This window comes from Homo sapiens, chromosome 19 (genome assembly GCF_000001405.40).
Source record: "Homo sapiens chromosome 19, GRCh38.p14 Primary Assembly".
Classification (NCBI taxonomy): domain Eukaryota; kingdom Metazoa; phylum Chordata; class Mammalia; order Primates; family Hominidae; genus Homo; species Homo sapiens.
This window is the reverse complement of record NC_000019.10, coordinates 11,288,804-11,300,141: the sequence shown is the minus strand read 5'-3', so window position 1 is coordinate 11,300,141 and position 11,338 is coordinate 11,288,804. Positions and strand designations below refer to the sequence as shown.

The 11,338-nt window shown below is 49.8% G+C and overlaps 1 protein-coding gene across 8 annotated transcripts in view, besides 2 other annotated features; it reads right to left on the bottom strand.

The window, feature by feature from the left end:
- Positions 1–3,982, bottom strand: part of TSPAN16 (tetraspanin 16) — a 30,837-nt gene extending 26,855 nt beyond the window's left edge. For 5 of the 8 annotated variants that reach the window (NR_104199.2, NM_012466.4, NM_001282509.2 and 2 more), the window contains exons 1-3: positions 3,776–3,982; positions 1,803–2,000; positions 1,196–1,270 (exon numbers count right to left, since the gene is read on the bottom strand). Coding sequence is in view for 7 of the 8 variants with exons in the window: in NM_012466.4 (NP_036598.1) it covers positions 1,196–1,270; positions 1,803–2,000; positions 3,776–3,844 (342 nt within the window). In the remaining variant the exon portion in view is untranslated. Of the gene's footprint in view, positions 1–1,195; positions 1,271–1,802; positions 2,001–3,545; positions 3,640–3,775 lie in introns of those variants that run through there. The other 3 variants (NM_001282510.2, XM_024451450.2, XM_011527903.4) reach the window with 2 other exon arrangements.
- Positions 948–1,447: an enhancer, noted in NCBI's record as "NANOG-H3K4me1 hESC enhancer chr19:11409371-11409870 (GRCh37/hg19 assembly coordinates)". NCBI's record gives its function as "activates a minimal SCP1, AML or CMV promoter by ChIP-STARR-seq in naive H9 embryonic stem cells {active_cell/tissue: H9 hESC(naive)}" and the evidence as "EXISTENCE:reporter gene assay evidence [ECO:0000049][PMID:30033119]".
- Positions 1,448–1,949: an enhancer, noted in NCBI's record as "NANOG-H3K4me1 hESC enhancer chr19:11408869-11409370 (GRCh37/hg19 assembly coordinates)". NCBI's record gives its function as "activates a minimal SCP1, AML or CMV promoter by ChIP-STARR-seq in naive H9 embryonic stem cells {active_cell/tissue: H9 hESC(naive)}" and the evidence as "EXISTENCE:reporter gene assay evidence [ECO:0000049][PMID:30033119]".
- Positions 3,983–11,338: the final 7,356 nt, after the last annotated feature.

Genomic DNA, 11,338 nt, shown 5'->3' with positions numbered 1-11,338 from the left:
ATTCCATCTGGTGCCCAGAGAGCCGCCTCCTTCCCTGTACCTGATGTACAGGATTCCACTGTGTCGATGTATTTTAACTTGCCTAAACCCTTATTCATACTCACTAGGTTCTTTGCAATCTTTCTTTTTTCTTTTCTTTTCTTTTTTTTTTTTTTTCTTTTTTTGAGACAGAGTTTCACTCTTGTTGCCCAGGCTGGAGTGCAATGGCACAATCTCAGCTCACTGCAACCTCTGGCTCCCGGGTTCAAGTGATTCTCCTGCCTCAGCCTCCTGAATAGCTGGGATTACAGGCATGTGCCACCAGGCCTGGCTAGTTTTTTTGTATTTTTAATAGAGACGGGGTTTTACCATGTTGGCCAGGCTGGTCTCGAACTCCTGACCTCAGGTGATCCACCTGCCTCGGCCTCCCAAAGTGCTGGGATTATAGGCGTGAGCCACCGCACCTGGCCCTCTTTGCAATCTTTCACATGCCCTGGCATGAATGTGATTCTGCACACCAGCAAGTGAGTTCTTGAATAATTCCCAGAGATGGGACTGCCAGGTCAAAGTGCTGAAGCTTTTGTCATTTGGATGGATTTTGCTAAATTGTCCCTCTATTTTGAATACATTTCAAAACCCCAATCAATATGCAAACACTTCTGATCATCTCCCCTTCTCCTGCCACCAAACCCAAGAGGGATGAACTAAATGAACTCAGCAGGTTTTGTGAGGACTTGGAGAGGCAGGCTGAGGATTTCAGCTTCTCACACCATCAAAGGTGGCACGTGTGATGGGCCCCTCCATCACTGGGTCCCCACAATCGATCATGGGTGCCTGGCGGGGAGGGGCGGACTTCTATTGGTTCTATATCTTTTTTTTTTTTTTAACGGAGTCTCATTCTGTTGCCCAGGCTGGAGTGCAGTGGTGCAATCTTGGCTCACTGCAACCTCTGCCTCCCGGGTTCAAGGGATTATCCTGCCTCAGCCTCCTGAGTAGCTGGATTACAAGTGCGTGCTATCACGCCTGGCTAATTTTTTGTATTTTTGGTAGAGACGGGGTTTCACCATGTTGGCCAGGCTGGTCTCAAACTCATGACCTCAGGTGATCCACCAGACTCAGCCTCCCAAAATGCTGGGATTAGAGGCGTGAGCCACTGTGCCCGTCCTTGGTTCTTTATCTTTCTAATGCTATGTGGGAGGAGCAGGGCTGTACTTACAATTGGAAAGAAAAGAAGGACCACTGTGGCAGCTGTAACTTCCATGATGAGGACAATAACCATTGACAGGATGCACTAAAAGACACACGGGGAGAGAGGGCCTGGGAGCCTGCTCAGCCTCCTCCCGACCTTATACCCTGCAGGTGAGGGGTTGTCTCTGTTCCCCCGACCCTCCACCCCAGGCCACCCTGGCCTCTCCAGTTTAAAACAATTCGACCGGGAGCAGTGGCTCAACACTTGTAATCCCAGCACTTTAGGAGACCGAGGCGGGTGGATCACGAGGTCAGGACTTCAAGACCAGCCTGGCCAACATGGCAAAATCCCGTCTCTACTAAAAATACAAAAATTAGCAGGGCATGGTAGGGGTGCCTGTAATCCCAGCTACTCGGGAGGCTGAGGCAGGAGAATCGCTTGAACCTGGGAGGCAGAGGTTGCAGTGAACCAAGATTGTGCCACTGCACTCCAGCCTGGGCGACAGAGTGAAACCCTGTCCCCGCAAAAAAAAAAAAAATAGGTGACACCAAGCAAAGTTGTTTGCAACACGCACAATAAAAGATTTGTGTGTGTGGGGAGGCAGTTCTGGGGTCTGTGTGCAGATCCAACTTACAAACAAGAGCGTGCCTCTGCTCTCTTTAGTCGCTCCATACCACCCGGCACAGCCAAGCAGTACCGTGATGCATCCCATCACCAGGCACAGGTTGCCAACGTGAAGGAGGTATGCGGAGGACAGCCCGAGGACATTCGTCAGAGAGGCCCCTCCACATTTACCACCAATGCCCAGGCCAACTAGGATGATGCCAGACACCTTTAGAACAGAAACCAGAAAGGAAGAAAAGTAATCTGTTAGTTGTATACAAATAGAACTGGGTGAGTGCGGTGGCTCATGCCTGTAATCCCAGCACTTTGGGAGGCCAAGGCCAAGACTTGAGCCCAGGAGTTCAAGACCAGCTTGGTAAGACCTCATCTGTACCCTCTCCCCAACAAAAAAAAAATAGCCAGTAGTAGTGCGTGCCTGTAGTCTCAGCTACTCAGGTGTCTGCAGTGGGAGGATCACTTTAGCTCATGAGGTTGAGACTGCAGTGAGCTATGACTGTGCCACTGTACTCCAGCCTGGATGACAGATCAAGACCTTGTCTCAAAAAATAAAATAGGCCAGCCACAGTGGCTCACACCTGTAATCCCAGCACTTTGGGAGGCCGAAGCAGGTGGATCACCTGAGGTCAGGAGTTCGAGACCAGCCTGGCCAACATGGCGAAACCCTGTCTCTACTAAAAATACAAAAATTGGCCGGGCGTGGTGGTGGGCACCTGTAATCCCAGCTACTCAGGAGGCTGAGGCAGAAGAATCGCTTAAACCTGGGAGGTGGAGGTTGCAGTGAGCTGAGATCATGCCACTGCACTCCAGCCTGGGTGACAGAGCAAGACTCCGTCTCAAAATAAAATAAAATAAAATAAAATAAAATAATGTCATAGGACAGGGATTAGCAATTTTTTTTTTCTGAAAAACCCAGATGTTGTGGCCTCTGCAGGACTTAAGGTGTCTGTTGAAACTACGCAGTTCTATTGGTGTAGCCCAAAAGCAGCTGTTCACAATCTCCAAATAAGTGAGCACGGCCATGTTCCAATAACACTTTATTTTGTATTATTATTTTTTAAATAGAGATGGGGATCTCACTATAGCTGGTCTCGAGCTCCTGGCTCAATGGATCTGCCCACCTCGGCCTCCCAAAGTGCTGGGATTACAGGCATGAGTCACCACAGCCGGCCTTAATTCTCTTTAAAATGTTACAAGTGAAGAGGAGGAGTGATATTTCATTTCCTTCTCTTTCCTGGCAGCTTTTCCTTAGACTATGCTACAATGAAGACAATTACTTCTTTTTATGTTTTTATTCTTTTATTTTTTTATTGAGACAGAGTCTCGCTATGTTGCCCAGGCTGGAGTGCAGTGACACAATCTCGGCTCACTGCCAACCTCTGCCGCCCAGGTTCAAGCAATTCACATGCCTCAGCCTCCTGAGTAGCTGGGATTATAGGCACGTGCCACCACGCCCATCTAATTTTTTTGTATTTTTAGTAGAGATGGGGTTTCCCCATATTGACCAAGGCTGGTCTTGAACTCCTGACCTCGTGATCCACCCGCCTTGGCCTCCCAAAGCGTTGGGATTACAGGCATGAGCCAGCGCCCCCGGCCTGACAATTCCTTAGCAATGTACATTTCGGGTTACTTTTACGGTAAGGAAAAAAATGTGACAAATTTAAAAGATCAAGAAAATAACCCTTTCTCCTGGCCTTCCCAAACAACTTGGTCGGCTACAGGATTTGACTTAGAGCCAAGCTCTTCCATCACCCACCTGGGCTCCCCCAGATCACACTCATCTGTGCTGGATTTCACCAGCTCTCGGTTGATGGAGGTCCCCACGCTCCCTGCTCCTCCTCCTCCGTCTGCCCTACATCCCTCCTGCTTCTCCAGGGAACCACAGATCTCGATGCCAATTTGGATCAACTTATTTCTGTCTTTCAGGGAGCTGACTGTGGAGGAAGGGCTGCAACAAACCAGGGGCCTGGATTGTGACATACTTACAGCCACGAAGCCATTGAGTAAAGATAACAGTTTCTTCAAGGAAGAATACGGAGTGTGGATTTCAGCCATGCTGAACAGACTGGGGCACCCTGAACATTTAAGTTAACATCTTCCTGAACCTCTGGGCTACTGTTTCCCAAGATGATAGGGATCTGAGGAAGGGGCGCCAATGCTGACTTGCTCTGCCCCTCTGTGTCCTGGCTGCCTGATGGTTGTCCAAGGCGGCCCAGCAGCTGCCCCCTGCCCTGGTCATAAGCCTTTTATCACATCACAATTGGGTTCTGGAGCAAGGCTCATGGTCCAGGGAAATCAGGTGCCCCAAACTGCCCCCTGTTGGCTCCTCATCCTTCAAACAGGTCACAGCAGGGAAAGAGAACAGGCATGGTATGCTACCCTGGTACCCTCCAGATGCCACCAGGACCCTGTGGGCATAGTGCCCAGAGCTAACCACTTGCACAGTTGACATCTCCTAGTAGACTGGGGGATCCAAGCGGGGGAGGGGGGAACTTGGGCTGTCCTATTAACAGCTGTGACCCCTGCCAGGCGCAGTGGCTCACACCTGTAGTCAAAGCATGTTGGGAGGCGGAGACGGGCGAATCACCTGAGGTCAGGAGTTTGAGACCTACTAACAATACAAACAATACAAAAATTACCTGGGTGTGGTGGCACACGCCTATAATCCCAGCTACTTGGGAGGCTGGGGCAGGAGAATCACTTGAACCCAGGAGGTGGAGGTTGCAGTGATCTGAGGTCGTGCCATTCCACTCCAGCCTGGTTGACGGAGTGAGACTCTGTCTCAAACAAAACAAAACAAAAACAAAAACAGCTGTGTCCCCAAAGCCTGGCACTGCAGTACTTAAGAAACCCGCGGAGAATGAATGAATGGATCCAGAGGCTCTGTGATGCAGAAATCTAGCTACAAGCCACCGGGCCTCCCAAGCCCAAGCCCATACTTGGCCCATCCTTCATACAGGGCTCAGAGAGGCCAAGGGAACTGCCTGAGGCCACACAGGAAGCAAGACCAGGCTTTGAAGCCCCAAGAGTAACATGAGGGCAGGAACCTGTAAGGCAGAGAGTCCTGGAACTGTGAGCCATTGGTCACTGGGTTTTTTTCTTTTGAGACAGGATCTTGCTCCATTGCCCAGGCTGGAGTGCAGTGGTGTGATCATGGCTTACTGCAGCCACGACCTCCCTGGCTCAAGTGATCCTCCCACCTTAGCCTCCCAAGTAGCAGGTCATTGGGCTTTTCTCCATGGTGATAGATGTAGTTAGCATTTCAGGACCAAAAACCTTCTGTATGTCAGCACTGAAGACCTCCAGGCCTAGATCCTGCAGTCTGTAGCCCACTTTGCCCCCATACCTCCCCACCCTAACCATAGCAGCTTCACATTGCCCCACCCCGATCCCCTCTCTGTCCAGCCCTGGGCTGGGGTGTGTCTGGGTCCAGGTCCTGCATGGATTGGGGGAAGGCGGATGGTTCAAATGGGAGAAAATACCTTACACTTTAATTAATTTAATGAATGTCTGTCAAATCGCCTGCTTCTTGGAACATGTAGAACTAAGCAAGATGTTCACAGAGGAGTGCTGTCTCCTCCTGGACCACGGGTGCTGTTCACAGCCAGGAGTGTGTCCTTCCACACCTTTATTTAAGAGGTCATTTGAAGCCAGGCGCGGTGGCTCACGCCAGTAATCCCAGCACTTTGGGAGGCCGAGGTGGGTAGATCACGAGGTCAGGAGATCGAGACCATCCTGGCTAATGCAGTGAAACCCTGTCTCTACTAAAAATACAAAAAATTAGCCGGTTGTGGTGGCGGGTGCCTGCAGTCCCAGCTACTCGGGAGGCTGAGGCAGGAGAATCTCTTGAACCCGGGAGGCGGAGGTTGCAGTGAGCCGAGACCACATCACTGCACTCCAGCCCGGGAGACAGAGGGAGACTCCTCCGTTTCAGGAAAAAAAAAAAAAAAAAAAAAAGGTCATTTGAAGTAAGGAACCTCAGAACCAGGGGCTGAGGGCCTGGAAATGGGGGCACAAAAGAGGGTGATAAATGGGCATGCAAGAGAGCATTGGAAAATGTAGGGGGCAAAGGAGGTCTGGGAAATGTGGACTCAAGGGAAAGCAGGAAAATGGGGGTGCAAAGGAGGGTGCAGAGAAGGGGGACGCAAAGATGCGAGATGGAAACTTGGCTGCAAATGAGCAGTGGGAAAACGGGCTTAAAGGACGGTGGGAAAATGAGGCTCAGATACAAGAGAGCTGGGTGAGTAGCAGACGGCGCTGTAGACGTGGGAGCAGCTCCTGGAAGGAACTGGCCGGAAAGGAATCTGGGCCGGCTGCACGCAGCCCCGCCCCTCGACCGCCCCAGCCCCTCTACCCTCCCAGCTTCTCTGCAAAGCCGCATCTACAGCCTCGCGCGTCTCCTGGCGGCGGCCCGTGGAAGCGCGGCCCTACGTGCCGGGGCTGGGCCAGGACTCTCCCTGCCAAACACGTCCAAATGTGCCCGGGTGCCCCAGGGACCCCGCCCAGCCGGTCAGCGTCAGGAAATGAAGCAAGAATAACTTCCCGTGCCCCAGATTCCTACATCACACACCCACGGAACTTTGCAGGCATCCGACGAATTGCAAATGCAAGATACTTGCTTTTTTTTTTTTTTTTTTTTTTTGTAGAGACGCGGTCTCGCTATGTTGCCTGGGCTGACCTCTAAGTCCTAGGTTCAAGCCATCCTCCTGCCTCGGCCTCCTAAAATGCTGGGATTACAGGGATGAGCCACCGCGCCCGGCCAGGACGTTTAATATCATTGTCAAAATCATAGAAGGGCCACTCCAATACACCCTTATGGTGTGTTGAGACATTTATTTCTCCACATGCTTGGTCTCCTTTTTTATTTTTAGGGGATTAAAATTGTTTAATTTTTAATTATGTGGGCACATAGTAGGTGTACATATTTATGGGGATGGGAGATATTTTTTAAAAAGCACAATTAACCAGCCGGGCGCGGTGGCTCACGCCTGTAATGCCAGCACTTTGGGAGACCGAGACGGGCGGATCACAAGGTCAGGAGATCGAGACCATCCTGGCTAACACGGTGAAACCCCGTCTCCACTAAAAAAAATACAAAAAAAAATAGCTGGGCGTGGTGGCGGGCGCCTGTAGTCCCAGCTACTCGGGAGGCTGAGGCAGAAGAATGGTGTGAACCCGGGAGGTGGAGCTTGCAGTGAGCCGAGATCGCGCCACTGCCCTCCAGCCTGGGCGACAGAGCGAGATTCCGTCTCAAAAAAAAAAAAAAAAAAAAAAAATCACAACCAAAAAATGAAATGTGTTGAATACAATCACACACAGAATATTTATGTCAACGACCCATATTAGTCAACAAACTCTCCTCTTTTTTTTTTTTTTTTTTAATTTTCAGACGGAGTCTTTCTCTGTTGCCCAGGCTGGAGTGCAGTGGTGCGATTTCGGCTCACTGCAACCTCTGCCTCCCAGGCTCAAGCAATTCTCCTGCCTCAGGATCCTGAGTAGCTGGGATTATAGGCGCAACGCCACCACGCCCGGCTAATTTTTGTATTTTTAGTAGAGATGGGGTTTCACCACGTTGGCCAGGCTGGTCTCAAACTCCTGATCTCAAGTGATCCACCCCCCTCGGCCTCCCAAAGTGCTGGAATTACAGGCGTGAGCCACCGTGCCTGGCCTGAACTCCTCTTCTTAAATTCATGTGTTTGTTGTCAAGGGCAACAATTGGGTGTTTGGGAGCACTGAACAACAAATAGTGAATGAATGAGACCTGAGCTTGCGCCCACCCTTCAAGGTCAGAGAGGAGCGCGGCAGTAGGTTCGCCTGCTCACTTGTTCATGTAAACTTTGCGGCAGAAATGTATTTGTTTACGCCTCACAAAACCTAGATCCATCCTTGACAAAGGGGCATTTTATGGTTTCAGGTATTTTAATAGCCATCGTTGGGGAAGGAGGCAAATCAGAATCCACCATCCAAAAAAAAAGTCTGGGACACACAAAAGAAAGGTGTCTGTCCTTGCAGAGGCTGGTCCACACCTTTGGCATCAGTCACTTGTTCTAGGAGTTCCCAGGTTGTGCACCTCAGCCCTCACTGGGGACAAGCACAGAAGTGTCACCAAGTTTCAGCATCAGGGGCTGACGTCATTGTGGCAGGAGAGGAGCATGATGGTAATCATTGCTACCAAATGAAAAAAAAACAAACAGCATTTCCACCATTAGGGATTTTTTTGTTTGGCTGGTTGTTTTTTAAAATTGCATTTGTTTCCCCATGTTCACATTCTGCCTTAGGGTTAACACTTTGTGCTCTGTATGGTGGGTTGGGAGGCACTGAGGAGTGATCAGAAGACCCCTGTCAGGCCAGGCACAGTGGTTCACACCTGTAATCCCAGCACTTTGGGAGGCCGAGGCGGGTGGATCACCTGAGGTCAGGAGTTCAAGACCAGCCTTGGCCAACATGGGGAAGCCCCGTCTCTACTAAAACTACAAAATTAGCTGGATGCGGTTAATTACAGGTGGGCACCTGTAATCCCAGCTACTCAGGAGGCTGAGGCAGAAGAATTGCTTGAGCTGGGGAGATGGAGGTTGCAGTGAGCCGAGACCGCACCACTGCACTCCAGCCTGGGCGACAAAGCGAGACTCTGTCTCAAAAAAATAAAATAAAATAAGAAGACCCCTGTCCTACAGGGACACTCACTGCTTTCCCAGTTCCTCTCTCTTGCTACATAAAGAAAGATCTGCAATTTCTACCCCTTCAGCTACCTTAGCTTCTGGCTGGAAAAGAGGGAAGTGAAATTAAGGAGAACCAGGAGATGGGTTTTTGTTTGTTTGTTTGTTTTTTGAGACAGGGTCTCGCTTTGTCTCCCAGGCTGGAAGTACAGTAGTGTGATCTCAGCTCCCTGCAACCTCACCCTCCTGGGCTCAAGCGATCCTCTCGCTTTGGCCTTTAGAGTAGCTGGGACCAATGGCACGTGCCACCACGCCCGGCTAATTTTTTTATTTTTTGTGGAGACAGGGGTCTCGCTATGTTTCCCAGATTGGTCTCGAACTCCTGGGCTCAAGCAATCCTCCTGACTTAGCCTCTCAAAGCGCTGGGATTACAGGTATGAGCCACCACACCCAGCCAAGATCCTTGATAATATTAAAAATATTTAGTATATAAGGTATACCCAGGCAGTGATGAGAAGGGAGGGTTTCAGGGGTATCAACCTTGAAGGGTTAGGAGGACTGGAGGGTCCTGATGAGAGTTCAGGAAGCAGCGAGTGGCCCCAGACCAGTGCATGCAGGTGACACATCTCGAGGGGGCTTCTGTTCTTGTTAGCATGGGGGATCGGGTTCTAATTCCCTCTGTTGTCTGGGCAGCTGGTCCCAGGGTGGCCAAGACTGTTCCCATCCCATATTCCTCAAGTATCTCACTTAAACACATTGAAAAGGTTGGCCAGGTGCAGTGGCTCACGCTTGTAATCTCAGCACTTTGGGAGGCCAAGGCAGGCGGATCACTTGAGGTCAGGAGTTTGACACCAGCCTGGCCAACATGGTGAAACCCCGTCTCTACCAAAAATGCAAAAATTAGCCGGGCATGGTGGTGCATGCCTGTAATCTCAGCTACTCAGGAGGCTGAGGCAGGAGAATCGCTTGAACCCGGGAGGCGGAGGTTGCGTTGAGCCGAGGTCTTGCCACTGCACACGCCAGCCTCGGCAACACAGTGAGACTCTGTCTCAAAAAAAAAAAAAAAAGACCTCATAAATAGCTTTTGGAGATTTTATTACAGGCGGACCTGTAACAACCGCAAATGGACTTTTAAAACCTTGTGGGGAATGTTTCTCCTTCTAGGAATTCCTACTACAGATTTATTCAAATGCACATAGGCCAAGAGCTGGCAGATTTTTCTGGAAAGAGCCAGAAAGTAAATATTTTCAGCTTTGCGGACCATACCGTCTCTGTTGGGACTCTGCTATTGCAGCCATAGAAAATATGTAAATGGACAATATGTAAATATATGTAAATGAACAAGTGTGACTCTGTCAAAATAAAATGTTATTTATAATATGAGATGGTTTTGTTATTTACAAAAATGGGTGGCAGAATGTAGTTTTGCTAATGCCTGCTCTTAAGCCTCGCTTGACTTGTGAATGATTGGAAACAACAACTTAAGTGCCCTTTGTTTTTGTTTTTTTGTTTTTTTTTTAGACGAAGTCTCACTCTGTTGCCCAGGCCGAGGGCAGTGGTGCAATCTCAGCTCATTGCAACCTTCATTTCCTGGGTTCAAGCAATTCTCCTGCCTCGGCCTCCCCAGTAGCTGGGACTACAGGCATGCCCCACTATGCCCAGCTAATTTTTGTATTTTTGGTAGAGACAGGGTTTCACCATGTTGGCCAGACTGGTCTCGATCTCCTGACCTCAGGTGATCCACCTGCCTCGGCCTCCCAAAGTGCTGGGATTACAGCCGTGAGCCATCGTGCCCGGCCTTAAATGCCCTTTGAAAGTATTAGTAGCTGATTAAGTATAAGATTGTCCAACTAGAGGAAAAGATGCTCAAAAGCTGAGAAAATGAATGCAGAAATCTTTGTTGCTTTTTTGCAGACTGGATCTCACTTTGTTGCTCAGGCTGGAGTGCAGTGATGTGATCATAGTTCATTGTAGCTTCAAACTCCAGGGCTCAAGTGATCCTCCCGCCTCAGCCTCCTGAGTAGCTGAGACTACAGGCACACACTACCGCACCTGCCTTTTTTTTTTTTTTTTCCATTTTTGGTAGAGACAGGCTCTAGCAATGGTCTTGAACTCCTGGACTCAAGTGATCTGGCTGCCTCAGCCTCCCAAAATCCTGGGATTACAGGCATGAGCCACCACACCTGCTCAAATTCTTAACTAAAAGAATTGACAACGGGAGCCAGGCGCGGTGGCTCATGCCTATAATCCCAGCACTTTGGGAGGCCAAGGCTGGCAGATCACTTGAGGTCAGGAGTTTGGAGCCTGGCCAACATGGTGAAACCCCGTCTCTACTAAAAATACAAAAATTAGCTGTATGTGGTGGCAGGCGCCTGTAATCCTGGCTACTTGGGAGGCTGAGGCAGGAGAATCATGTGAACCCGGGAGGCGGAGTTTGCAGTGAGCCGAGATCACGCCACTGCACTCCAGCCTGGGCGACAGAGCGAACTCTGTCTCGAAAAAAAAAAAAGACAAATATTGCATGATTCCACTCATTTGAGGTCCCTAGAGTCATCAGATTCATAAAGACAGAAAACAGAATGGTGGGTACCAGGGAATGGAGAGGAGCGTGGGGAGTGAGTGTTTCATGGGGATAGAGTTTCAGTTTGGAAAGATGAGAAAGTTCTGGAGACGGATGGTGGTGATGGCTGCACAGCGATGTGAATGTGCTTAATGCTGCTGAACTGTACTTTTCTTTTTTTTTTTGAGACAGAGTCTTGCTCTGTTGCCAAGGCTGGAGTGCAGTGGCGTGATCTTGCGATCTCAGCTCCCTGCAACCTCCATCTACTGGGTTCGAGCAACTCTCCTGCCTCAGCCTCCTGAGTACCTGGGACTACAGGAGCGTGCCACCATG